Here is a 27049-nt window from a genome sequence, read left to right on the forward strand (position 1 = left end):
CTTTTTAATTTCTAGGTATTTGGGACTTTCAAGGTATTTTTCTGTTATTGGTTTCTAATTTAATGCTATTGTGGTCCGAGAATGTATTCTGTATGATTTCAATAGAGACATTTATTTATTTAGACATTTATTTATATGTGTTTATGACCCAGTGTATAGTCTGTCCTGTGGAATATTCTTGAGCATTTGAAAATAATGTGTATTCTGCCACTATTGGGTGGAATATTCTACAGATCTTGATTAGATCACGTTGGTTCATTGATAATGTTATTTAAATCTATCATGTCCTCATGAAGTTTTTTCCTAAATATTTTATTGTTTACTGAGTGCTAGAATACTAAAATATAATTGTGAATTTGTCTATTTCTGATTTATTTTTATCATTTTTGGTATAATGTGATTTAAGACATATTTTCTAAGAACAAACACATTTAGGATTGTTATATGTTGATAATAAAATGATCCTTTTATCATTATGAACTATCCTTCTTTCTCCTTGGTAATATTTCTGAGTCTTATATTTCTGATATTAACACAGCCACCAATACTTCCATGGTTGGCATTATTTTCGTTTTTTTTTTTTTTACTTTAAGTTCTGGGATACATGTGCAGAATGTGCAGGTTTGTTACATAGTTATACATGTGCCATGTGGTTTGCTGCATCTATCAACCCATCATCTAGGTTTTAAGCCATGCATACATTCGGTATGTGTCCTAATGCTCTCCCTCCCCTTGCTCCCCATGCCCTGACAGACCCTGGTGTGAGGTGTTCCCCTCCCTGTGTCCATGTGTTCTAATTGTTGAACTCCCACTTACGAGTGAGAACGTGTGGTGTTTGGTTTTCTGTTCCTGTGTTAGTTTGCTGTGAAGGATGGCTTCCAGCTTCATCCATGTCCCCACAAACAACATGAACTCATTTTTTTATGGCTGCATAGCATTCCACGGTATACATGTATTTTCCCATTCTTTTACTTTTTACCTGTCTTTGCCTTCATATTTAAAGAGGGCATTATGTAGAGAGCATGAAGTTGGCCTGTAGATTTTTTTGTGCATTCTGACAATCTTTCCCTTTTCATTAGAATATTTAGGCCATGTGCATTTAATTCAATTATTAGTATGGTTGTTTTAAACTCTACCATCTTACAGTTTGTTTTCTTTTTGTCTTACCAGACTTTCCCTTTTTTATTTCTTTATTTTGAATTAATTATGCTTAGTGTTCTATTTTATCTTCTCCATTGGCCTCTTGGCTATACCTCTTTTTTTTTCAATAGTTATCAGGAGCTTAAAATATTCATCTTAATACATTCTACCTTCAAATAATAACACACCACTTAACATGTATAAGAAACTTACAACATTATACTTCCATTTCTCCCTTCTATTCTTTGTGCCATTGTCATCATATTTTACTTCTGGGTATGTTATAAACCCCCAAATAATTTTTACTTTAAACAATTCCTTTTTTAACTTAAAAAAAACTAGAGAACATGTTTTTATATTTATCTGAATTTTTACCATTTCATGCTTTTTTCATCGTAATATCTAATGAACACTCATAAAGAAACAAAATCCTTGCTCAAATAAGATATTTTTCTTCATAATCATCACTATTCTCAAACCTTTGAAAGCTCTGGTAATCATGATTTAAGTTCTCCCACATGGAGTGACTATGGCTGGTAAAAATTGCAATGAATTAGGGCATTTTAAAAATTTTATTTCTTGGCTCTTAGTTTATCATGTAGAAAAATCCTCCATGAAATATTGCTATAATTACAATACAGCCTTGGGAAGGAAGCTCAGGGGCTGTGAATGGAATCCTAATCTGCCTGAAATCTTGATCCAGACAGACCAAATCTCTTCCCTCAGAGACTTCAAACACTGCAGTCTTCAAACTACATCCAAGAAAATCTTCATCCAAGTAAAATTTCCCCCAAATATCCTTTCTCTACCCCACCCTATCCTGTAGTTAGGGAAAAACCCAGGACTGAATCAATATCCTCAGACCTTTCCGTTCAAGTGGGATCAGAACCTTTAGTAACCACATCGGCAACAGAGGTTGAAACCACACCTTCAAGAAATAGTATTCACATGTGACCTGGTCCTAGACTTCCAGTAAGAATGACTCAGAGTCTCCCCGCTCTGAAATACTGAAGTATTTATTGGTCTTAGGGTATTCTCGGGAAGGTGACAGTGAGGGGTTCTTCAAAGGAGAACAGAGGATAAAAGGCTCAATGAAAGGATAATCTCCATATTAGTGCTACCAAAGTGTCATTAATTTCTATTTGTTGGAAACTTTACTAAGGAATGACTGCTTTGAGGTAATGGATAAGGACAGAGCTTGAAGGGTCAGCAATTCAGTCAGCCACTGGAGTAGTTTTCACATGAAGTGAGAAGAAAAGCTGAGATGGAGTTTGTAGGGCAGCTGGAGTTCAGATCTCTCCTAAGTCCTCTTCTGTTCAGATATTTTGTCACCTGCAGCAACACACACAGTTATTGTCATTCCTGGGTTCAGTACTGTAAGCCCGGACCCATCTTCCCCACTCCCTTTGCACCCGAGCTTCCCATTTCTCTGCCCTGTTCAGGTCCCAGGGAGAAGGTGGTCATCCCTGCACATGCCCTGGTCCTCCAGGTGAAGAGCACATAGGAGCCAAGGAGTTCACGAAAGTCATTGAATTTCACCCTCAAACCCCAGCTGACTGTGAGGCCATCCCACATGCTTCATGTCTCCAAAATATACAGACAAGGGGAAGGGCCACATTACTGAGGGCAGAGAAGAAGCTTAACCCTGGAATGAGAATTGGAAGGGACAAATATCCAAACCATATCAATGACGGCAATGAACGAAGGATACTTGCTCACATTGTGTATACTGCTCTTTGAAAGGATTTCAAAAACCAAGGTAAATTTTCTAAAATGACCTCTGTTGAACATCTGACAGCAGTACTTCCTCCTTCCTGAATTCTTTAATTCCTTGGCTCATGTGACAGCATATTCTCCTAATTCTTCTGCTTCTCTGCTTCTCCATTTTTGTTAAATACTCCTCTTTGGATGTTTTGTTAATCATGTATCTTTGCATTAATTTTGCCTTTTCAAGATATTTCATTAAAATATGATTTATTACTGAGTTCTTTTGGTATCCCCCAAATTTTGCACCTAAGCCAGGTGCATCCCCTACATCACCCTAGTCCCAGCCCTCTTTTCCATTCTTCCTCTTAACATCTGACATTCTACATTCACTTCACTCTGTTACAAATCATTATAGATATAATTATAAATGTGTGTGAACTAAGAAAAATAAACAAGAATTTGTCCTACTGGATACTAACACACACTACAATGTCATAGTAATCAAAATACTAGGACACTGGCACAAGAAGAGACAAACAGAACAGTGGAACAAGATGGAACTCAGACACAGGCCCACCTATAATGGGAGCTTTCAGTATAGCAAAGGAGACACTACTAACCTATGGGGAAAAGGTGAACTATTTAGTAGTTGTGGGAACACACTGGCCCATTATATAAAGAAAAATAAAACATGATCCCCATCAAACACAAAGATGAATCCCAGATGAATTAAAGTAGTAAATGTGAAATTTAAAACTGTAGGAGATGTTTTAAGAGTATCTTTGATATCTCAGTATAGGGAAGACTTCTTTTAAAAAAGACACACAAACAAAAATACAGTTGATGGACTTCATTACAAAATATTAAGGATTTCTCTTCAATAAAGGAAACCAAGGAGACAGTTGCCAGAAGTCAGATTAGAGGAAAACATTTGCAATGCCTAAAACTGACAAGGGACTACTAGCAGGACTATATAAGGATCACCTGCAAATCAATAAGAAAATGATGGAAGCACATAGTACAAAAATGGACAATGAATGTGAACAGGCAATTTATAGAAAAGGAACCCCCAAGTGGCTAATCAGTCCTAATTATAGCCCCAATTATTAGTAATTAAAGAAATGCAAAATAAAACAGCATATTTCTTTATGCACATGAAATTGGCAAAAGTTAGAAAACTGGATAATGTCCAGTGTTGAAGTCCATTTAGGAGTTGCAGGACAATTAGAGTACTGACAAAGGAAGTTCAGATGAGTACAGCCATTCTGATGAGAAGATGAGCAGTGTTTAGTCAAATTAAGGAGCTGCATCTCCAGCAACCCTGCAACCCCTTTCTAGGATACATACATTCCAGGGATGCAGGTCAGGCCCACATGTATATGCAGTTCCATGTGAGATACAAGCATTGCTTGCAATAGTAGAGAACCAGGAATGATCCAGGTATCCCAGGAGCAATGTAGATATGTGGATTAATATGATTTGGATATTTGTCACTTCCAAGTCTCATGTTGAAAATTGATCCCCAGTGTTGCAGGTGGGGCCTGGTGGGAGGTATTTGAATCATGGAGGAGACCCTCATGAATGGCTTTGTCCCCTCTCCGGGTAATGAGTGAGTTCTCACTCTATTAGTGCACATGAAACCTGGTTGTTAAAAAGAGGCTGGCACCTCTTTCTATGTCTCTTTCTCCCTCTATGACCATGTGATGCACTGGCTCCACTTGCCTTCCACCATGAGTAAAAGCTTCCAGAATCCCCCAACAGAAGCAGATGCTAGTGCCATGTTTCGCGTACAGCCTGCAGATCTGTGAGCCATTTAAAGCTCTTTTCTTCGTAAATTAGGTAACTTCAGATATTCCTTTATAGCAATGCAAAATGGACTAATGCATGGACATATAAAGTAAAATACTATGGAAGATTTGGAAGAAACAAACTGGATGTACAAAATTAGATCTATAATTTAATGCCATTTTGGTTAATTAAAAATACATGTACACTGGACACTACTACATATTACAGAGGATCTATGCAAATAAAAGGAAACATCAAATTCATTAAAATGTTTACCTATGAGGTAGGGGTAAGAGGTTAGATATGGGAGTAAGGACTGGAGATAAAAGGGACCAAATAAATCAAGGGAGAGAGAGAGAGCTCGGAGGCACCAATGATGATCATATAATGAACTGAGAAGTTCTTAACCTTTTGTACCTGAGGTCCAGCATGAATAACAATAATAATAATGAATTAGATGTGGTCATCTGCATGGAAGTTCACTGTCTAATGCTAAGAGAATTCCCAAAACATATAAAAATATAAAGCATGGTGAGTGTTATGATAAATAGAAACCTGTAAGATCTCTGGAGGGGCATTTTTTGTGTGAACATTGCCATGGAATGAGTCCAAGTAGAGACAGTAAGTAGTTACAGGCACCCACCACACTGTGTTGTAATTATGTATAGAAATATAGATCTGACTCCATTATTTGGCAATGGACTCTGGAGAATTTGAACTTGGTCTTTTCCTTCACAAAATAGGGTGAATAGGACAGTGGATAAACAGTCTTGGATCCAGACTTTCTGGATTGGAAGCTAGCCCTACTACTTCATAGCTGTGGGAACTTGATCAAAGTGCTTAAAGTCTCTGTGTATGTAAAAAGATGTAAGTATCTCTCATGTGAAATAGTGAAAATAATAGTACCTACCTCAAAGACTATGTGTGAGAATAAAGTGAGTTAATAAATGTAAATCCTCAGAATAGCGCCTGACCATATTAACTACTCAGTTAGTTATCGGTGTTGTTGTTGTTATGTGGCTGAATGCTTTTAACCCATTAGAAGATCAATGAACACTTATCAGATTGAATTTTTCCTCCCTTCCTTACATTCTACAAATCCTAGGGCCTCCTCTTTACATTCCCACCTTTACAGTATTTCACAGGGTCCCCTGGGCCCGGGGGTCATGGCCAGAACGCAGAGACTTTATGATGAGGACGGTGCCCACGATGATGCCGACTAGGCCCAGCACCAGGCCCAGGGCACAGAGCACAGTCTCCGTTGTCTCAGGCATCTGGATTGGCTCTTGGGCCTCTGGGGGAAGAATGAAGAGATAGGGTCAGGAGGTGCAGTGAGGGTGGTGATGGCCTGGGATGGTTGTGGGAATTGAAGGTTATGGACCAGTTAATTGGATGTTAGGACGAGGAGAGGACTGAGACCCAGCCAGTGCGGAAAGCTGGTGCAGAGGACACCAGGTCTTTGGAATAGAGGATGCCAGGAGATTATGGAGAGAAAAGCAGTTGCATACCCCAGTGCTTGAGGAGCGGCTGGTCCAAGCCCCAGTGCTCCACCCTGCAGTCATAGAAGTCCTCTGCTGAGGGCACAAAGGTCAGGTAATGGAACTTGTGGAAGCTGTAATCTGTTCTGGGCAGGAAGAGGCTCTCAGCGACACCCTCAGTGACCAGCTCCCCGTTGCACAGCCACGTGACGTTGAGCACTGGTGGGAAGAACTTGTCAATGTGGCAGATGAGGGTGTTGGGCTGGCCCAGCTCCACAGGCTCCTTGGGAAACACGGTCACCTCAGGGGGATCTGGAAGGAGACAGCACCAGGTTAGGCCCCTCTTCTGGGATGAATCACAAAGGCTCCACCTCTTAGGGGAGGGTGGTCCTCTACCTCAGCCTTAGATTTTATGGCAGCTCTGAATCACAGAGAGGGGTATCACACCACTGACCAGCCTCACTCTGCTCACCTTTCTCTCTCCTGAGAAGAGAGGATGCAAGCCCTTGCTGTAGTGGGATCAGCCCATGGCCACTAGGGGAAGAGGATCACACAGCAGGGGGCACTTAGGCTTCCTAGTCTGAGGGTGGCAGAGAGGCCCTCTCATCCCTTCCAGTTGGGCTACAGAGGAAGAGGCAAAGATAGGGCGTACCGTTGGTGGCCTGAGTGTGGTTGGAACGCTGGATCAAGGTATTCAAGTTGTTGTTCAATATAGCAATGTTAGCCAGCCCGCCCTGAGCCTCAAAGGAAAAGGCTTGGCCAAACTCCTCCAGATGCCAGACGGTCTCCTTCTTGTCCAGATCCACATAGAACATCTCATCTTCATCAAATTCAAACATAAACTCCCCTGTTGGTCTATGCGTCTGTACAAACGCGGCATAAGTTGACACATGGTCCGCTGCATAAAGACAGTAGAGAAAAACACGACAAAATGTCAGTTTGAATATGCAAGTGGTCAAAGCTAGAGAATGAATAAAGACTTATGAATATAAAAAGGAAGAAGGTAAGAGGTCAAAGGAAGGACATATGGGGAAGAAGAAGGAGCAACACCATAAAGGAAATAATACAGAGCAGATGAGCAGTTATAAAAAGAAAGGAGCAAAGAACAAAATGAAAAGTTTATCACTGATAAGTCAAGCTGCTTCCTGGTCTTTGAAAGTCTGGGCATCCTGACCCTACACAATAGTAATAGTAACAATGACAGCTAACATTTGTTGAGCACTTACTTGTGCCAGGCATCCTTCTAAATACTTTACATATTTCACTCGCTGAATTGTCACAATAACCCTATGAAGCAAATACATATCATACATTTTACAGGTAAGGAAATGCAGGGAAGTTACATATTAATAACTTGCTAAGGTCATACGGCTACTGGCGGAACTAGTAGAGAGGTTTTCTCTCCCATTAAGATCTTAATTTTTCTATGACACAGATGTAAAATTGTTTTTAGAGTCATGGGGGTGGGGGAATGGACATTTTCTTTTTCTTATTATAGAAAAGGTAGAAAAAAATACAAAATTGAGAGGAAGAAGAAAATATCCTTCAAATTTTAGGGCTCTTGACAGTTTTAAAGTTTCTGTCTTAGTTTATGAACATGAAACTGTAGAATGTATAGCTTTGTTGATAATATTTTTCATTTGGGGCATATAAATTCAAAAGTACAGTACAGTTATTTTGGCATTTGTTCCAAACTTTTGTTTCCTTTTTAAAAATATTTCAACATTTATTTTATGTTCAGGAGTACATGTGCAGGTTTGTTGTATAGGTAAACTCATGACTTGGGGGTTTAGTGTACAGATTATTTCATCACACAGGTACTAAGCATTCTAAACTTTTCTTACATTTATATTTTGATTTTTGTTTTAGAGGCCAACTAGAAATTATTGCTGAGTTTGGAACACCTGTAGGATTTAATTTATTTTGTTTCTTAGTCTTTATTAGTTTGTAAGAATTAGCAAAGATAAGAGGATAAAAGCAACTATTATCATGAAAGAAAACGATGAATGTGTATGTGAAAGTCTGGGTTTAGAATGATAAATGCATCAGAGTGAGAAGGAACTACGGGACTCTTCTGCTCTCACCTCCCAACTCACAGATTTCCCTGTGAGTTTTCAGCCCTGACATGTGGGGACCCAGTCTGTGCTTGGCCACTTACAGTGACAGGAGAATGACTCCTTGCCACTGTAATTGTAAGTGTCTAGAGGGTATGACCTGTGTCTTATTTTTCACTGAGAATGACTCCCTGACACAGTAAGTGGCCAAGCAAAGAGTGGTATTTGAAACTAAACAAAACAAATCCTATAGGTATTTCACTAGGAAACTTAGCTTGCTCCTCAGTTTAAAGGACTCAAAGGACTCATCAGGAAAAAGAGGGTAAAATAAAAAGACACAAAGTCCTCTAGCAGTTATTGGAAACTCATCTTCTTAATACATGAATGTCCCTTGTACTTTTTAAAATGCTTTTTAAAAAACACTTTCACAAGTTCTGCAGTCCAAAGATCAGCCAGCTATGGAACAGATTATTTTTCTTCAAAATATCATTTCCATTCAGACAAAAATATGTATTAAAAGACTACTATATGTCAAACACTGTTAGATGCTAAATACCCAAATAAAAATAATACATACGTCCTGTTCTGCAGACGCGTATAAGTCACAGAAGGAAACACAAGTGACAGGACAACAGCAGGTTCAGAAGGATAAGTGCAGATACGTAGGTATACACAAGATGCGACCAAACAGCACATCAGGGAAGGCTTCCTGGGGAACAGATGGCTTCAATGTAGGCATTCAGAAAACAGGGCAAAAGCCACTTCTCTCAGGGAAGACAGCCTGACCGGGAGAAGATACTGAGTTTACTGTGGGGCTATTGCACTTAGAAGACCTGAAAGTCATCTAAGGAGAAATAATACATAGATATTTGTGGATTATGGGTGGTCTCAGGAGAGGAATTTAGGCCATAGAACTGAGAGTCATTAGTGGCAGGTGCAGGTTAAATAAGATTTTCCAGGAAGAGTGCCAAAAATCAGAATTGCCGAGATCTCAGGGTATAATGAGAGAACATGATAGTTAAGAGGTGGTTTAAAAGATGATAAGGAGGATCCAGGTAAACAGGAGAAAAATAAGGACAGGGTAGTTCATCAGAAAGAAGTGGATTATAGTGCAAATGTTATTAGTAACTCAAGTCAGAGGCACTGAGAAGAACCCACTGAATTTGACCTTCTGTAGAGGTTCCTGATGGCCAAGATGAGAGGATCCTCAGGGATGTACCAGAGACAAGTCAGAAGCTTAGCTCCACGTGTGAGGACACAAAGAAAGTGTCTCTGGGACAGGATGCAGACTGAAGGCAAGGTTGTTTTTTATCAGTTGGTTTGCACTTATGTTTTTAAGGTAAATGACATGTTTAAATGTTAAGAGACTGGGCAGGGAAGCCCTGAAGAGACAGCTGAGCTCATTAGGAATTTCTACCAAGAATACTAAAAAGTATTTGCATCTATGAAGAGAAGCCTATTGTGGTGTTTATTATAACATAACATTAGAAATAACTCAGGTGACCGCGAACAGGGCAATAGATACTTCTGGTTCTACCCAGCCTGACCTCCTCTTTATTCTACACATCTTAAATAAAACTGTCTGAAGCCAGTGTGCATCTTGTACGTTATGGATTCTAACCTTCCCCATCACTAGATTTTGGAATGACAGCATCATGCACAGGCTTGATGTCATTCTCCCTGATTTCAGCTACAGGAAAAAGGAGCATTCACTACGGTCCATCTCTGGCTGAGTCCTTGCAGCTATCAAAAGTCTAGGCCTCCCTTGCAGTCCTGAATCTCTCAGAACCCGAATCACAAGGCTATCAAGACCATGCAACCCTGCTGTCTTGAGAGAGGAAAGCTTGTGACCACCCACAAAGACCCAGGAAGAGCCCTAGGGTCCTAGAAGAGAGGGAGGATACAGAAACACTCTTTGCACTTCGTCTCCTAATGCAGAGTCCATAGCTCGGAGTTCCTGTAAAGCAGCCACAAAAGATAGAGGCTGGGGATCCCAGAGAGATAGGAGGGCCCTGATAGTAGGTCACTGTGTGCAGGAATCTGGGGAAGGCAGTGTATGACCCTCAGAGCTGGGTCTGGACTTCAAACTTGGCTCGTTGATCTGCTGTGTAACCTTGGAAAACTTATTCATCTTTTTGAGCTTCAGTTTTTTCAAAATAATTTCTAAATAAAAGGAATAATTTCTAAATGAATGGAATATTATCTTCATTGAAGATTCCTGTGAGATGTAAATGGGGAAAGAAACTATGCAGGAGTCTCATAAATTCTGGCTGTTATTGCTGTTATTATTATGAGGGCCAGAGGGAACATAGACTATGAGGACCAGATAGATCAATGAGCCCCTAAAATCTGTGATCCCTGAAGCAGCAATTGATGTGAACCACCCCATCACTCACCCCGACGCTCCTGCGTCCTCCTGAGCACTCACCCTTGATGGCCCCAGCTCCTCGGAGACTCAGCAGGAAAGCCAAGGAGAGGGCTCTCAAGATCACAGCTCTGATATGGAACATTCTGTCTTCAGGGCGCATGTTGTGGGGTCTATAATTGATGACTGTGAGCACAGGAACAGTGATGAGGAACTGAGGCCGAGTGGAGGCAGATGAGACTGAAACTGTGGGCCTCTAGCACTGGAAATGGGTGGAGAGGAATCAGCATGGCTGGGATTCACCTATCAGAGAAATCATAGAGCTGACATTCTCTGTTGCTGGGTAAAGAGGACGCTGGAAGGTGCTGGGGAAGAGATGGGAGAATTTTAGGTACCAGCGTGGTCAAGAGAGCTCCAGTTCACAGTTCATTTTCAGAGTTAGAGAAAGAGATGTAAAAAGATAAGTTACACCTTCTTCTGACGGCAAATGTTTTCCATTATGTTCCTTCTCCCGAGCCCCACCCCCATCCCAGACAGTCAGATGATCTTTGATGTTTTTTGGTCACTATATTTTAAATCATGTTTTATGTTATGTTGTCAATATTTTACAAAAATATTCTGCTGATAATTAAGAATGAATGTGCTATCTAATAAAATATATAATTAATCTTTCTTTCAGGTCCACCTCCCTGAGATACCTCCTTTTTATTTAATCATTTCTGCAGAAGTGTTATAATTTCTATTTAGAGGTTTTAATTAACTTGAATGAAGTTGATCTTTAATTGTTTATCTATTCCTGGTTACCTTTGTTAGTGAAATTTCTAGATAATTTTTATTTTTCAGATTTCTTAGTATTTGATTTTTCCTGGTATTTAAACAGTGTAATAACATTTTTATCTTTAAATTACTAGTCTTGTTATTTCATTTTCATATAAGAATACCCAGGACAGCATTACCTGTGGTAACAATGTGCGCCCATATTTTGATCTTGTTTTTAAGAAGGGTTTCTCTAATGTTTTTCTGTTACAGGTAATGTTAATTTTTTATTTTATATTCTCTTTACCATATTTAAGAAATACTTTTCTAGTCTCATTTTAAATATTTCAATTTTGAGCTATTTATTTGATACTCATAGAGAAGGTCACAAAACATTTACTATTTAATGTAATGATGAAGTACATATATTACGTTAATATTTTATCTTATTTGTGGTAGCCTTACCTTGCATAAATAATAATTACTAACAGATTAGGACATGAGAGATTCTGTTATTAGTGCTTTGCATGCATTACCTCATTTAAACCTCATATTAAACCTGAGGGAGGTATTATTAATGTCTACTGTAAAAATAAATTACCTGAGACATCGAGGAAGTATTTGTCTAATTATCTATGGCAGGTAAATGACAAGGAGAAAAGTCCCACCCAGGCAGTTACTAAAAAAACTGAGTTTTTCTCCACAATCCTCTCCTGGCCCCTTAATCCTACTAGACACCTTCTACTACATAATTATTTTCTTCTCTTGCATTTTACATGCTAGCCTTCTATTTACATTTTAATATTGATTTAAAGAAATGATGCCAATTTGATTTTTTTTGAAATTAGAATTGGTGGTCCAACAGGATCACATTTATAAGTGTCTAAAGTAAGAAGTAATGTTCTTTGAAAGTTTGTAAAAATATTCACTCTAAACAAAATAGAATCAGATGCTTTGAAGGAGGTGGGGTCTTTGATGATTTTTTTTCACTTTCTTCCTTATTTACCAGTCAATTTATATTCTCTATGGACTTTATTTTTCCAAAGCAATTTCAGACCTATTGATCTCATTTGATCTTAAGAGCTTTGCTATAAGGCAGGTTATATCATCCCCATATTGAAGACAAGGAATCGAAGTCCAAGAGAGGCAGTGTCGTTAAAGCTGCATATTTACATGGTAGGGTAGGTGGTGTGTCCACGCTCCCAGTGTAAGGTCCCTAGACTGAGCCCTCCTGACCCTGATGACAGTCCTGTGGAAGAACCTGGTAACTCCTGCACATCGCAGGACTCACAGACCTCTGGGAGAAAGTAAATATGAATGGGTGCTAATCTTAAACACACCCTTGGACAAAGGCAAGACAGACAGACTCAGACCTCATTTGAGTTCTGAGATGGGTACTCTAATCCCTCTAAGTCATGCCACTGAATGACCTTTTACACACTAAGATAGCACTTTTTCCACAACAGACCATGTCCTGTGGGTGTGTGAGGTGTGGCAGAATTGGGGAAATGATAATCCCTGTAGATGGGCCAGCAGAATATTTGAGATCACCTTCAGAGCAAAGAAAACGCATAATCTCCCCAAACATCATGACTTATCTGACTGGTTAAAATGAGTATCACTGTCTTTCCTCCGTCATCTTAAGTGCATCACAGGCTTTATATTTTCAGACCTTTCATACTAACTTTCTGCCTAGTGAGCAATGACTCATACAAAGCTCAGTGTCCATTGGTTCTTTTCTCAGACTCTGTCCAATCCCAGGGTCACAGAAGACTACTTGGGTTCATGGTCTCTAATATTTCAAACAGGAGCTCCCTTTAGCGAGTCCTTCTTTTCCTGACTGCAGCTCTTTTCATTTTGCCATCCTTTTCCAGCTCCATGATGGTTCTGCAGGTTTCTGCGGCCCCCCGGACAGTGGCTCTGACGGCGTTACTGATGGTGCTGCTCACATCTGTGGTCCAGGGCAGGGCCACTCCAGGTAAGAGCCGAACTGCCATTCTTGGAGGGTCTGGCTCAGGGAACAATTCCTAGGGGACGTTATCTTTAAGGGATCAAATTCTGAGACAGGCTGCGGGGGCTCCTGCCCTAAGGCAGTGTCCTCTCTTCCCAGCTAGAGAAAGAGGTTCATCCCCTATAGGATAGCTTGCTACCCTACTGGCCTATTCTCTCTCCAAGGACATGGGTACAGTAAACAGAGAGAGGTGCCCAGTGGTCAGTGTCTTTGGGGAAAATGGGACCAAGAGGTCCTGGATAACCTTGGACAGACAAGGTTTGCAGAGAGAGAAGTTGGCAAGTGCAGGCTCCTGGGCGTGTTCATGTCTGCATCCAGCCTGGAGGGGACTCAGGCAGAGAGCCCTAAGCTGGAGTGTCCAGGCTCTGAGGATCACTGAGGATTCAGTGCTCACGAAGAATGCCTCTTATTCCCCAGGGTGGAGCAGGAGCCCACATCCCTTGGACAATTAAGGAGAGAAGGGAGGGAGGGGGATAGGTTTTAGCCCCTGAAGGCATTCTCATTAAAGGTACTTCTCCCAGCCTCCCCAGAACTTGGTTAGGGTACTAGAGTGGGTTGCGACTTGTAGGAAGAATGAGATGAGGTTGTGTGGGTGCATGACAGGGATTGAGTGTAGGTTATCAGACAGCCAAGGAAGCAGTAACCAAGTGAAAAATCTCTTCTTCCTGCTGCCTCCCTGTGGCTGGTGTAATATTATGGCATCTATGATCCATTGTTTTTCTCTCAGGATACTCTCAGGATATTTCTTTTTATATATATATATACTTTAAGTTCTAGGGTACATGTGCACAACGTGCAGGTTTGTTACATATGTATACATGTGCCATGTTGGTGTGCTGCACCCATTAACTCGTCATTTACATTAGGTATATTTCCTAATGCTATCCCTCCCCCCTCCCCCCACCCCACAACAGGCCCCGGTGTATGATGTTCCCCTTCCTGTGTCCATGTGTTCTCATTGTTCAGTTCCCACCTATGAGTGAGAACATGTGGTCTTTGGTTTTTTGTCCTTGCAATAGTTTGCTGTGAATGATGATTTCCAGCTTCCTCCATGTCCCTACAAAGGACATGAACTCATCCTTTTTTATGGCTGCACAGTATTCCATGGTGTATATGTGTGCATTTTCTTAATCCAGTCTATCACTGATGGACAGTTGGGTTGGTTCCAAGTCTTTGCTATTGTGAATAGTGCCGCAATAAACATATGTGTGCATGTGTCTTTATAGCAGCATGATTTATAATCCTTTGGGTATATATCCAGTAATGGGATGGCTGGGTCAAATGGTATTTCTAGTTCTAGATCTTTGAGGAATTGCCACACTGTCTTGAGATACCATCTCACACCAGTTAAAATGGCGATCATTAAAAAGTCAGGAAACAACAGGTGCTGGAGAGGATGTGGAGAAATAGGAACACTTTTACTCTGTTGGTGGGACTGTAAACTAGTTCAACCATTGTACTCTCAGGACATTTCTAGTCCAAATTTACACCAACACTCTGAGAGGAAGGACTGCAAAGTAGGTACCTTAGTTTTCCACTGACTTCCACTTTTCCTGCTTACACCCTTCCTCCTAGACCTCTCCACACCCCTCCTAGGACACACCTAGAAGGTACTGACATCATGTCACCTCCTCATCTTTCAGGGTAGCAAGGTTGGAATCTCCTGAATACAGCCCCTCAAGCCCTAAAACCTCTTATCTATTACCTTGGGTTCATTGTCCAGGAAGGGGAGGAGAACTTGAACTTGTAGTCACAGAAGGGTGCTGAGAACTAACCAGCAGGACGGCTCAGCCCTGGGAACTGCAGAGGGGTGAGGCTGGGGAGAGAGGAGGCTGGAGCAGCACTGGTGACACTGAACAGTGTCAGGAGGAAGTGACGGATGCAGCGCCCCCATCCCATAGGCAGAGCTGTCATGTGGGATGAGGGACAGTGTTGGGAGCCACCAAGGAAACCCAGAGGTGGGGGAGCAGAGAGCAGAAGGGGGCATGTGATGCTGGGCAGTGAAAGGGAGGACGGGCAAAGGCTGGGTTGAGGTTTGTAGGGGGAATGAGATGAGGCAGTGGAGCCATGTGACAGGGACTGAGGGTAGATTACTGGAGCTCCCTGCGTAGAATGAATGTTCAATCAAAACCTGCTGGAGGGAGAGCTGGAGCCATAGGGGAGTGGGTAAAGTGGGCAGGGCTGATTCCACAATTCCCTGCATGCTCCCCCAACTCCACACACATCCCCAACCTCAAACAGGGCACAAGACCAAAGGGCTGAGGAGCCAGGCTATAGCTTAAAGAGGCTGGGGGAGAAAAGCTTGGCTGAGACAACCCATAGGGAGCTAGAGGTTTTTAATATATCCTATTCTGAATAAGAGACGAATTCATTCAGATCAGTGGTTTCAAACCGTGCTCTGGGCAACTCAATTGCTAAGGGTTCCACAAACAGGATAAAGTTTCTTATATACAAAAAAAAATGAAGGTTTCAAATTACACCATAAAACCCCTCATTGCTTATGTCTACTTGGCAGGTAAAATTCCATTTCAAAAGTTAAATGTACTTAAAAAATTACCTAAGACTGGGTAAATTAAAAAAATTAAATGTTGCAAAGAAAAAATTCAAAATTCTTATTCTTGAATGAAAAACGTTCTCTTACTGGTGATTGAGGAGGAGAAACAAAGACTAACAAATGAAAATGGGAGAATCCACACTCAGAGTGGGGCAATTGAACAGGCAGGGGCGGATGGATGGCAGAGGAGGAGGAATCTGGACTCAAGGAGCTGGGGGGCTCTGGGCCTGGAATTTTAGGGTCTGGGGCCCAAGGCACCAGGAGAAGAGGCAGGTCAGGATATCTGAGTCAAGACCTGGGATCTTGCCTTAGCAATGACACTGGAGACTAAAGGTGGACTCCATGGTGCCCTTGAGCCCAGCCCTACCCCATCTCCACTATCCTCTGCCACCAGCTGTGCAACTTCTGCTAGGGGTGAGGTTAATAAACTGGAGAAGTTAATTTGTGGAGCATGAAACAGATGAGCAGAACAATCACAGCACCTTAATTTCCCCAGTGTGCCCAAGAACAGAGCAGGCCTGAAGATACTCAAACAGAAACAAACATGTGCCGTGTCACTGATAATTCTGTGTAGACACACACCTGCCAGACACTGCTCATGGCACTCCCTAGGAAGAACAGCATGTGGGAAAGGCTGCCAAAATTGTTCATGTAAAAATTACATCAATGCTGTCTTCCTCGGTGCTGCCTATGCAGCTGGCAGCCATCTCTTCCTCCACATCATGGCCTCCCTCAGACTCCTCATGAAGGATAAGATCCTCAAAAAGAGGACCAACAAGTTCATGAGGCACCAATCAGACTGAAATGTCAAAATTAAGCATAACTGGCGGAAACCCAGAGGTCTTAACAGTAGGGTTCGTAGAAGGTCCAAGGGCCAGATCTTGATGCCCAACATTGCTTATGGGAGCAACAACAACAACAAAAAAAACATGCTGCCCAGTGGCTTCCAGAAGTTTCTGGTCCACAGCCTCAAGGAGCTGAAAGTGCTGCTGATGTGCAACAAATCTTACTGTGCTGAGATCGCTCACAAAATTTCCTCCAGAACTGCAAAGTCATCATGGAAAGAGTCACCCAGCCGGCCATCAGAGTCACCAACCCCAGTACCAGGGTGCACAGCTAAGAAAATGAGTAGAAAGTTCATGTCCACGTTTTGTGTGTAAATAAAACCATAAAAACTGCCAAAAAAAATTACATCAATGCCTCTAAACCCAAAGGACTCTACCCCCACAGGTCCCTGGTTGTTGTGGTGATTTTCATTGTGTAAAATACTTTCCACATCTTTTGACACCAAGTCTTTCTGCAGCCATGTTTGAAAATTAACTTTCAGGCTACAGAGTCTTTCTTATACCAAAGTTGAAGAAAGTTTTAAGAAATATATTTCTACATCTCCTACATGCAAAACAACAGGAGCAAGTTGAGGAATTCTCAAGAAACTGGTCGAGAAGAGAGAGCGCTTAGCTATGGAAAAGAGAAAGAAGGAAGGGAGGGCTTCCTGGAGGAGGTGGCATTTGAACCAGGACTGACATCAGGATGGAAATGTCAGTCAGGGAGTTAAGTAGGGGGAGCAGCTCCGCCCTCCACGTCCCCAGCTCCTCCCGCCCCTGTTTTTTCTCCCAGTGACCCCACGTGAAACGTCTCCGCCTCCTCCAGCCACCAGCAGAAGGGACTGCCTTCCCCTCAGTGCTCGCCCCTCCCTAGTGATCACTCAGTGCCCCTGAGCTCATTCTTTTCAGTAAATTCTCTCTCTGCGTGGTGAGAAAACAGGCCTGGAGAGGCTCTGCGACCCGCTTAGGACCACAGAACTCGGTACTAGGAAAACTCCTATTTTAAAATCCAGCCCTGGGTGGGAAGATTTGGGAAGAATCGTTAATATTGAGAGAGAGAGGGAGAAAGAGGATTAGATGAGAGTGGCGCCTCCGCTCATGTCCGCCCCCTCCCCGCAGAGAATTACCTTTTCCAGGGACGGCAGGAATGCTACGCGTTTAATGGGACACAGCGCTTCCTGGAGAGATACATCTACAACCGGGAGGAGTTCGCGCGCTTCGACAGCGACGTGGGGGAGTTCCGGGCGGTGACGGAGCTGGGGCGGCCTGCTGCGGAGTACTGGAACAGCCAGAAGGACATCCTGGAGGAGAAGCGGGCAGTGCCGGACAGGATGTGCAGACACAACTACGAGCTGGGCGGGCCCATGACCCTGCAGCGCCGAGGTGAGTGAGGGCTTTGGGCCGGCGGTCCCAGGGCAGCCCCGCGGGCCCGTGCCCAGGGCGCAGGAGCAGCCGGGTTGGCCTAAGGGACCTTAGTGCCGGGCGGAAAGGGGACTTTGGGTTGGGGATTCATGGGGGGAGCCCATCTGGAGCTTGTCAGGGGAGCGAGCGCGGGGACCTGGACTGGGCTGAGCATGGAGTGAGGAGGACGAGAGCAGAGAGACCCCCGGGACTTCATCAGGCCTGGCAGCTGACTGCATGTGGGGTGAAAAAAGGAAGCCACAGGACAGCGCACAAGGGTATGGTGTGGAGATGGAGGTGGAGATGGCACAGCAGGCCACACAGAGAAGAAACCTACAGGGAGGTAGCTGGGTTTGAGGTGCTTGAGGGGCAGATGGGTGGTCTGATGGGCAGGTAGACAGAAGGGTCTGCAGCCGGGGAGGAGACTGAGATACATGAGACCATCCAGGGAGAGGGGACCCAGGGGGAAGAGCAAAGGACCGGATCCTGGGAACTGGACAGTTGTGATTTGGCCAAGACAGAAAAGCCTGTGAAAGAGACCAAAAAAACCCAAGTGCAGTGTGAGGAGAGGCCCGCAGAGAAGAGTCTTGGAAGCTGAGGGGAGGTGACCTCAGCAGCACAGTGGACAGCGGTGCCAGTGACTTGGGAAGGTCAGAAAACAGAAGATGGAAAGTGGGTTTGGAAACCAGGGAGACCTGGGGAGAGCAGGTTGGCCGCAGCGGCAGGAGCTGGAATGGGAGGGGGTGCATGAGGCTGAGTGTGGCGCATCCTCCTCGGGGCTGAGATGGATTTTACTTGTCTTGGGTTCCCCACGGCTGTCACAGGGCAGTGTCTCAGTTCATTCGTCTTTTTCCTTCAGGAAGTCTGGGTGTAAAGGGATGGAGAGAGGTGAGGTGTGTGCAGTAAGAGGATTTCTCAAGGATGGGACAGGAAGGCCTTGGAGCTTTGGCTTCCTCCTGTGAACTTGTGGGGTGGGGAGCCTGGTGCACCAACCTGAGGGACTTGAGGGAGTAGTATCAGGATGTGGGATTGAGCCCTGGACCTTTTTTCTAGAAAGAGGAAAAAAATGAAGGGAGGAGGAGGAGGAAGCTGGGGAGATCACACCTTTGATTTTCTTGTTCCTGGAAAGTGAAAGGAAGTTCACCTGCTATGAGTGAGAAGGTGGACACACTGGGTGGGGATGAGGTGAGTGACATGAGCTTAGGAAAGTTGCTGAGGTAATTGGTTGAGAGAGGTGTTCAAATAAAAATAACGCAATTGGCAAAAACTGTTACTAAGACTTTGTAGAGGCACCAATCAGTGACATGGCAGCATTTTCTTTCACAGTAATCAACTGCCAGATTGCAGACAGCCCTGATGCCAGCCTAAGGAGTGTGGGTTTCTCCTCCAGGCCCGCAGGTCCCCAACCTCACTCCTCTGAAGACTCTTCTGGAGATCCTCTGTGATGCACAGATCTCCAGACTCAGTGCCCCCAGACTCAGATTCCCTGGGTGGGGAGGTCTGGGGATCTCTGCTTGTAATCAGCTCCCTAGAGGTTCCCATGTAGCCAGATAAGTATTGTCAGAACACTGAAGATTTTTGAAAAATGAAAAAGAGAAGGTTGGAGATGTGTCTTCAGAAGACTACTAAGGGTGCTGGCTAGAGGAGGGACCAGAGGCAGGGAGATGAGGTAGGAAACTGCTATTATTTGTCAGGGAAATTGCAATCAAGGCATGAGTTAGAACAGGGAAAACACAGAGGCAAGGGAGAGGTGGAAGGGGGAGGAAAGAAGTAGTGACAATTCCAGGGTGGATGTCCACCCAAATCTAGAAGTAATTGAGCAAATGTTTTCTGGGCATTAGAGAAGGCAACTAGAACAAACAGGAATCCTTGCCTTGGTGAAATGTATTTGAACTGGGTCAGAAATGAGGCCATTGGGTATCAGGCCTTAACTCCAGCGCACCCTGGAGGTCACTGATGTGGCTCCAGGCTGACCTGCTCCTGTCAAAGAATATTGAGCAAGATGCCTCTCGTGGAATGTTCTGGGACCTTAAAACAGATACCCAAGTATTCCCCCTGATTTCATGGTTCCCAGAAGCTCTATGGGGAAGAAATTGTAGGTAATTCACAACTGAGATTTAGACATAAGTTGAATAGTGTAATGGACATTGAGTTAACCGAGGTAATGAAGTAGTGAGACACAGGTGCCCCTGAAATAAACTCACATTGAGGGAAGAGGCTGACAATGTGGATCAGTCTGAAAACAAGGCAAAAATACAATAGGGAGTAAGGGTTGTGTGTCAGTTCAAGACTGTACTTTTACCTGGCCCAGCGCCATGTTAGGGTATTTGTGTTCTCCAGGAAGTAGAAAGGAAAGAACTGAGTGATTAGGGACCTAGAAGACTAATTTGAGACATTCCTCTTGATGAGCTGTTCTCTAGGGTAGTCCTCTGAAAGAGCTGTTCTCTAGTGGATCTCCCTGAATGAACTGTTCTCTAGGAGCACTTGACCCTTTTCTGTGTTTGTTTTTTGTTTTGTGTTTGTGTTTGTTTTTGAGACAGGTTCTCACTTTGTCTCCCAGGCTGGAGTGCTGTGGCACCATCATGGCTCACTGCAGCCTCAACCTCCTGGGCTCAAGTGATCCTCCTGCCTCAGCCTCCCATGTAGCTAGAACTACAGATACACGTACCACCATGTCTGGCTAATTTATTTTTCTTTTTAGAGATGGGTTCTCACTATGTTGCCCAGGCCGGTCTCAAAACCCTGGGCTCAAGTGATCCTCATGCCTCAACCTCCCAAAGTGCTAAGATTATAGGCATGACCACCATGCCTGGCCTTTTCTGCTTTCTGAGGAGGAAAAAGGTACTGGTGGCAGAGATCCAAAAGAAAAGTTGCCAGTGGCAGTGTGGAAATTCACCTGAGAACAACAGGACAAGCTGGGGCACAAATGCAAAGATGCAGAGGGAGGCAACACCTGGTCATCTGTGAGACCTTCATGGGACCTGAAGACGCAGCACAGAGGAGGAACTTGAAAAAGGACGGGATTTCTACTACTCAAGCATGTAGGAGCTCAGGATATTCTGTAAATATGAAGATTTTGAGTTTTTGTAGGTGAGGTAAAAAAATACATAGGTTTTTTACAGAATAAGACATGTAAAGCTCTCTTCATTTTCTTTGTATTTTCATGAAGTTATTAGATTCACAGGCCACCATAATGCCATTGTCTGTATATCTTAATTTCAAGATATTATTTGAGTAAATTTTGCTTCCTTTGTATCAAGATAGAACTTTGAAAAGGTAGGTAATTTCACAGTTGATCAAATATTCTTTGCCCAAATTACTTTTGGTTAAAATTTCTCCTAAATGTGCTACAGAGTGCAAACTCTGTCTCCCTGCCATTCCGCTATATACTTACTAACTATTATTTTATTCAAGATCATGCATGCTCTACTTGAAGGTCTATTTCTATCTTTTCAATGCTACCCTTACCCACTAGCCTAATCACATTATTCCTATTTTCAACATCTAGGAATCAATTACATAGTGAACATGCCTAAGAAATAATAATCTGGGCAGATGCAGTGGCTCAGGCCCGTAATCCCAGCCCTTTGAGAGGCCGAGCGGGTGGATCACTTGAGGTCAGGCGTTGGTCAAGTGCTCCTAGAGAACCAGGCTGACCAACATGGAGAAACCTTGTCTCTACTAATAATACAAAAATTAGCCAGGTGAAGTGGCAGGCACCTATAATCCCAGCTATTCGGGAGGCTGAGGAAGGAGAATTGGTTGAAGCCCGGAGGTGGAGGTTGCAGTGAGCCAATATTGCGCCACTGCATTCCAGACTTGGCAACAGAGTGACACTCCATCTCAACAAAAAGAAAGAATGAAAGAAAGAAAGAGCGAGATTATGTCTCAAAAAAAAGGAAGGAAGGAAGGAAGGAAGGAAGGAAGGAAGGAAGGAAGGAAGGAAAGAAGGACAATCTCAAATTCTATTTCATTATTTTTCTTCCACGCTCCTAGTCCAGCCTAGGGTGAATGTTTCCCCCTCCAAGAAGGGGCCCTTGCAGCACCACAACCTGCTTGTCTGCCACGTGACGGATTTCTACCCAGGCAGCATTCAAGTCCGATGGTTCCTGAATGGACAGGAGGAAACAGCTGGGGTCGTGTCCACCAACCTGATCCGTAATGGAGACTGGACCTTCCAGATCCTGGTGATGCTGGAAATGACCCCCCAGCAGGGAGATGTCTACACCTGCCAAGTGGAGCACACCAGCCTGGATAGTCCTGTCACCGTGGAGTGGAGTGAGTCTCTGATGACCCTCTAGACCCCACCTCTGAAGAGCAGGGGACTCTCTGGCTCTGGGGTCCACTCATCTTATCTTCTGCATCTATACCCTGGGGCCATGTCCAAACCCCATCTTTCTTCTATACCAGCTCCTGAGCATAGTTTGAAGCCAGGGAAATGGAGACTTCCTGACCTTGGCTTAGGGGTTCCTGAAGATTCATAGTTCTCCCCCTTGTCAGAGAATCTAGGGACACTGACTGGTCTCGAAACCCTCACACTTAGGAACTGACCTCACACATAGGAACAGTTCTCTTCCTTCAGCATTTTAGCCTCTTCTCAGGCATTTTGAGAGGCAACTTCCAGAATCAGCATTTGCCACCTTGTTGAGGTCACACCCCTGTTCCAGATATGAGGGTGGCTCTTTCTGAATTTCCTCTTAGCAAGCTTTTTCCGCTGCACTGTCCTCATCCCGATATGCTGCATCAGGCTCCAGAATCTCAGACAGGACATGAGTAGGGATGCAGCTGGTGGAGGTGACACTAAACCTGGGTCTGTCCTTCCCAGAGGCACAGTCTGATTCTGCCCGGAGTAAGACATTGACGGGAGCTGGGGGCTTCGTGCTGGGGCTCATCATCTGTGGAGTGGGCATCTTCATGCACAGGAGGAGCAAGAAAGGTGAGAAAGCCTGCAGGGTGAGCGGGACTTACCTTCCCCTGGCATATTCACACTTATTCCACGATGAGGGGTTTGACAGAAAAGAAATGTCAGAAAGCTCTAGAGGCCACTGATATCAGATAATCGGGGAACAAACATGACCTATAGCGAGAGAGGGATCCCAGGCTGGGATCTTAATGCAGCCAGATGCATGAGGTCCCAAGTACTCAGGCTCCTGCGGAGCGTCCATTGAGTGATGGGCAATGGAATTTGGTGGGATGGAAATGTTTCTCTAATTATCTGAGGTGGTTTCAATGGCTGATTATATAACCTTTCGTCTTTCATTTCAGTTCAACGAGGATCTGCATAAACAGGTAATATTCCTGCTTTGATTTCCTTGTGGGGTGGGTTGCAGGAGGATATGAGTCCTTTCTGTGCATTGTAACACTGAGGCTCCTCCAGGAAGGGAATCTCAGGCATGAACCCCTCTTTCAATGTCAGCCTTCAGGCAAGTGGGGAAAGAGCATTGCTTGGCTCCATTGCTGAAGGAAGCAGAGATCAACTCTGTTATTTATCAGCCTGAGACGCATCCTCTCACCATAATTTTTCTCTCCTGGACTTACAGGAAGGAGGCTGGCAACCTGGGATAACTTGTCTTTTACCCCCACAGGGTTCCTGAGCTCACTGAAAAGACTATTGTGCCTTAGGAAAAGCATTTGCTGTGTTTCGTTAGCATCTGGCTCCAGGACAGACCTTCAACTTCCAAATTGGATACTGCTGCCAAGAAGTTGCTCTGAAGTCAGTTTCTATCATTCTGCTCTTTGATTCAAAGCACTGTTTCTCTCACTGGGCCTCCAACCATGTTCCCTTCTTCTTAGCACCACAAATAATCAAAACCCAACATGACTGTTTGTTTTCCTTTAAAAATATGCACCAAATCATCTCTCATCACTTTTCTCTGAGGGTTTTAGTAGACAGTAGGAGTTAATAAAGAAGTTCATTTTGGTTTAAACATAGGAAAGAAGAGAACCATGAAAATGGGGATATGTTAACTATTGTATAATGGGGCCTGTTACACATGACACTCTTCTGAATTGACTGTATTTCAGTGAGCTGCCCCCAAATCAAGTTTAGTGCCCTCATCCATTTATGTCTCAGACCACTATTCTTAACTATTCAATGGTGAGCAGACTGCAAATCTGCCTGATAGGACCCATATTCCCACAGCACTAATTCAACATATACCTTACTGAGAGCATGTTTTATCATTACCATTAAGAAGTTAAATGAACATCAGAATTTAAAATCATAAATATAATCTAATACACTTTAACCATTTTCTTTGTGTGCCATCACAAATACTCCTTAACCAAATACGGCTTGGACTTTTGAATGCATCCAATAGACGTCATTTGTCGTCTAAGTCTGCATTCATCCACCAGCCTAGGCCTCCTGTCTTAATTTTCATACAGACAGAAATGACTCCCCACTGGGGAAAGAGCAAAGCAATACATGTAGCACTCTTTTTCAAACACTGGTCTTTTTTTTTTTCTTAACAATCCAACATTGTTATGTGTTTTGCGTCTCATATTGACACCTTTTGGTCAAGGTAGAGGACATGTTTGTTGTAAGCTTTCTTTTTCGTGTAGAGGATGGATTCTTCACTCCTGATACACACAATCAGTGCACAGCAGCTCTCTTATACATCCAGTTGATGCCTTCAGTCTCCCTGGCTTCTTACAAGCATCTTCTGGGCCTTGTGTGTCCCTGGGCACCTGTCCCTGGTCAATTCCCGAAAGCTACTGTGCTCCTCTTGCCCATCTCCCCTTGCAAATAATATCTTCCATCGGGGGACCGGCTTCCTCCAATTTCAGGAGAGGTGGGGCTGAAGGCACAGACTTGGGCGTCACTGGCACAGATATAAGTAAATACAGCTGGAGTCTGCAGAGAGGCTGGACTGAGTCAGGGAGTCAGGAAAGAGAAGCCACACACAAGGACAACCAATCATGTTTCTCATAATCTTCTTAACCTAGGGAATAGGACACAATCATTTTTTCTTTTTAAAACATCTTTATCCCTGATCAGCCTCATTTCCTCAAAAACTATAAAGGAAAATGCTGCTGACTTGTTTTTGCGTAGTAATTTCAGCTGTCACATAATAAGCTAAGGAAGACAGTATATAGTAAATAAGGACCCTTTATCTGTCTTATTTTCCCTTTTGGCTTCACAGGAAACTTGTGAGAAACCTATGCAGCATAAAATTAATATGATTTCAATCCAGGGATTCAACGATGGAAGGAGGTCATGAGAATAGCAGAAAGTCTTCAAATCGAGATCATTATGAAATCCTCAGACCCAGAGCACATAAATCCTACCCTCAGAGTCACTGAGCAGTTAACATTACAAATTACAAACCATATCCAGTCAGAGTCATTCTCTTTCCTGCTTGTCTCCTGTACTCATGTTACAGGTTAGGGCAGTACCCCGAGTGGAGTGAACAATCTCTGGACTAACACTTGTCAGGATCAGAAGCTGAGGTATCTGCACCCACATTACAGGAACAGGATATGTGCTCCTAGGGAACTGAGGGTGTCAGGAGATGAGGAATGTCCCTGGAGTCACAGAAAGAAGGTATCAGATGTGTCTCACTCTGACATATGCAGGTGTTTATGAAACTCTGGGATTTCTAAGGAAGGATGCAGTGCAGAGACAGGTCCCAGAGGAGACAAGAGCTGAGAGACCATCCAAACTGGGACCACCTTGTCACTAGACTTCAAATTTTCAATATTGATAGAGTGTTTTCTAAGAGTCAGGCCCTTTGCTGAGTGCTATGTGCAGCAGGATCAAAGGCAGCCAGGAGGTAGAGGAGTCTTGAGGTACATCAGTCATTGGAGTTGAAGAGCAGAGATTCAAAGGAAAGTTGGAACTGGAGCTTTAAAGGAGATGTGAAGTGGGTGACTCAACCTCTGACTCAGAAAAATTGATACCTGCAGAAGAAAAAACCCGGCGGGCTTAGGACTCCCAGCTGAGTGTTGTATCCTCCATCCCTTTCCACCTGGTCCCTTCATTTTCTACCCCTCACAGTTCCCTAACGAGAAGGTGGTCCACCCAACAGACAACACTGCCTCAGATGGTTATCAAGGGGTACCCTAAGAAGAAATCATCTCACCCTCTCTTTGTCCCCATTTGTCAAGTAGCAGTGAGGCCGAGCCAGGGGATGGTGAAAGTGGAAGGAGGTGGGAGTTGGGCATCGGGTGTGAAGATGCTCTTGAAAGGGGTTTTAATAACCACTTGCTACCAGGCCAGTGAACACTTACCATAGTTGATGCCTTTTGAGCATGTTGCATTGTAAACTGTCCCTGAAATTACTGTGCACTTGGCTTATGGGATGAAACATCCTCCTAGTTCTTTTGTCTCTCAGCTTCTCTGAAGTCTCATTGAGCACCTTCTCTTCAATTTCTTTTACACAGTAAGAATAGGATCAGCTGTGCTAAACTAACAAATACCCAGATATCCAGGTTTGGCTCATGTTACACGTCCAAAGTAAGTCATGCAGGAAGCTCTGCTCATCATCGTACTCAGGAAGTCAGGCTGACAGTCTTTCTCCTGCACATCTGCTCCCAGAACCTCCCCAGCAGAATGAAGGGAACCTAAGAATTTATTCACTGGCTTTTAATGATCCCTCCTAGAAAGAACACACTTCTCGCATTTCATTTTCCAATGTAAATCATATGGCTGCAACTAACTTCAAATAAGTGGGAATACTTGAAGGTGGAAAACATTTAAGAAGTACACACTAAATAAATAATAAAATACTTCTACAAGAGATATTTATGGAGGACCTACTGTGTACCAGGAGCAATGCTAGGCATTATGGATATCAGCAGCCTTTGGCTCCTGAAAAGCTTACACACTACCTCCTGGCCTAAGGAGGGGCACAGGGATGCTGGCAACAGTCTATTTCTTCACCCGGGTACTAGTTACATGGGTGCTTGCGGTGATAACCATTCAACGTACATTCTATTGGTTTGTGTGTTTCTTCCAAATGTCCCCTAG

At 43.5% G+C, this 27049-nt stretch overlaps 2 protein-coding genes and 1 pseudogene across 5 annotated transcripts; 2 read left to right on the plus strand and 1 right to left on the minus strand.

Annotated features, from left to right (window-relative positions):
- On the minus strand, positions 1694-17873 carry HLA-DPA1 (major histocompatibility complex, class II, DP alpha 1). 4 transcript variants are annotated; one of them, NM_001242525.2, is made up of 6 exons: positions 17805-17873; positions 10596-10718; positions 6766-7011; positions 6144-6425; positions 5763-5929; positions 1694-2472 (listed from the first exon to the last, which is right to left on the minus strand). In NM_001242525.2, exons 2-5 carry the CDS (start codon positions 10693-10695, stop codon positions 5775-5777), a joined length of 783 nt encoding a protein of 260 aa, NP_001229454.1. In that variant the 5' UTR covers positions 10696-10718; positions 17805-17873; the 3' UTR covers positions 1694-2472; positions 5763-5774. The 4 variants fall into 4 exon arrangements, with proteins under 4 accessions (NP_001229454.1, NP_001229453.1, NP_291032.2 ...); NM_001242524.2 differs by having other exon boundaries at positions 10596-10794; NM_033554.4 differs by lacking the exon at positions 17805-17873 and having other exon boundaries at positions 10596-10774.
- HLA-DPB1 (major histocompatibility complex, class II, DP beta 1) lies at positions 13115-26821 on the plus strand. Its single transcript, NM_002121.6, has 6 exons — positions 13115-13266; positions 17797-18060; positions 22075-22356; positions 22904-23014; positions 23344-23367; positions 23664-26821. The coding sequence occupies exons 1-5, from the start codon at positions 13167-13169 to the stop codon at positions 23361-23363; spliced, it is 777 nt and encodes a 258-aa protein (NP_002112.3). The 5' UTR covers positions 13115-13166; the 3' UTR covers positions 23364-23367; positions 23664-26821.
- Positions 16523-17034, plus strand: RPL32P1 (ribosomal protein L32 pseudogene 1; annotated as a pseudogene).

Source organism: Homo sapiens, chromosome 6 (genome assembly GCF_000001405.40).
Source record: "Homo sapiens chromosome 6, GRCh38.p14 Primary Assembly".
Taxonomy (NCBI): domain Eukaryota; kingdom Metazoa; phylum Chordata; class Mammalia; order Primates; family Hominidae; genus Homo; species Homo sapiens.

Excerpts from the sequence above, each read along its gene's own strand:
- HLA-DPB1 (NM_002121.6), top strand. The coding sequence starts at position 13,167 with ATGATGGTTCTGCAGGTTTCTGCGGCCCCCCGGACAGTGGCTCTGACG. Across the intron at positions 18,061-22,074 it reads CATGACCCTGCAGCGCCGAG|TCCAGCCTAGGGTGAATGTT; the intron begins GTGAGTGAGGGC and ends CCACGCTCCTAG. Across the intron at positions 23,015-23,343 it reads GCACAGGAGGAGCAAGAAAG|TTCAACGAGGATCTGCATAA; the intron begins GTGAGAAAGCCT and ends CTTTCATTTCAG.
- HLA-DPA1 (NM_001242525.2), bottom strand. The coding sequence starts at position 10,695 with ATGCGCCCTGAAGACAGAATGTTCCATATCAGAGCTGTGATCTTGAGA. Across the intron at positions 7,012-10,595 it reads AGGAGCTGGGGCCATCAAGG|CGGACCATGTGTCAACTTAT; the intron begins GTGAGTGCTCAG and ends GTCTTTATGCAG. Across the intron at positions 5,930-6,143 it reads GCCGCTCCTCAAGCACTGGG|AGGCCCAAGAGCCAATCCAG; the intron begins GTATGCAACTGC and ends TTCTTCCCCCAG.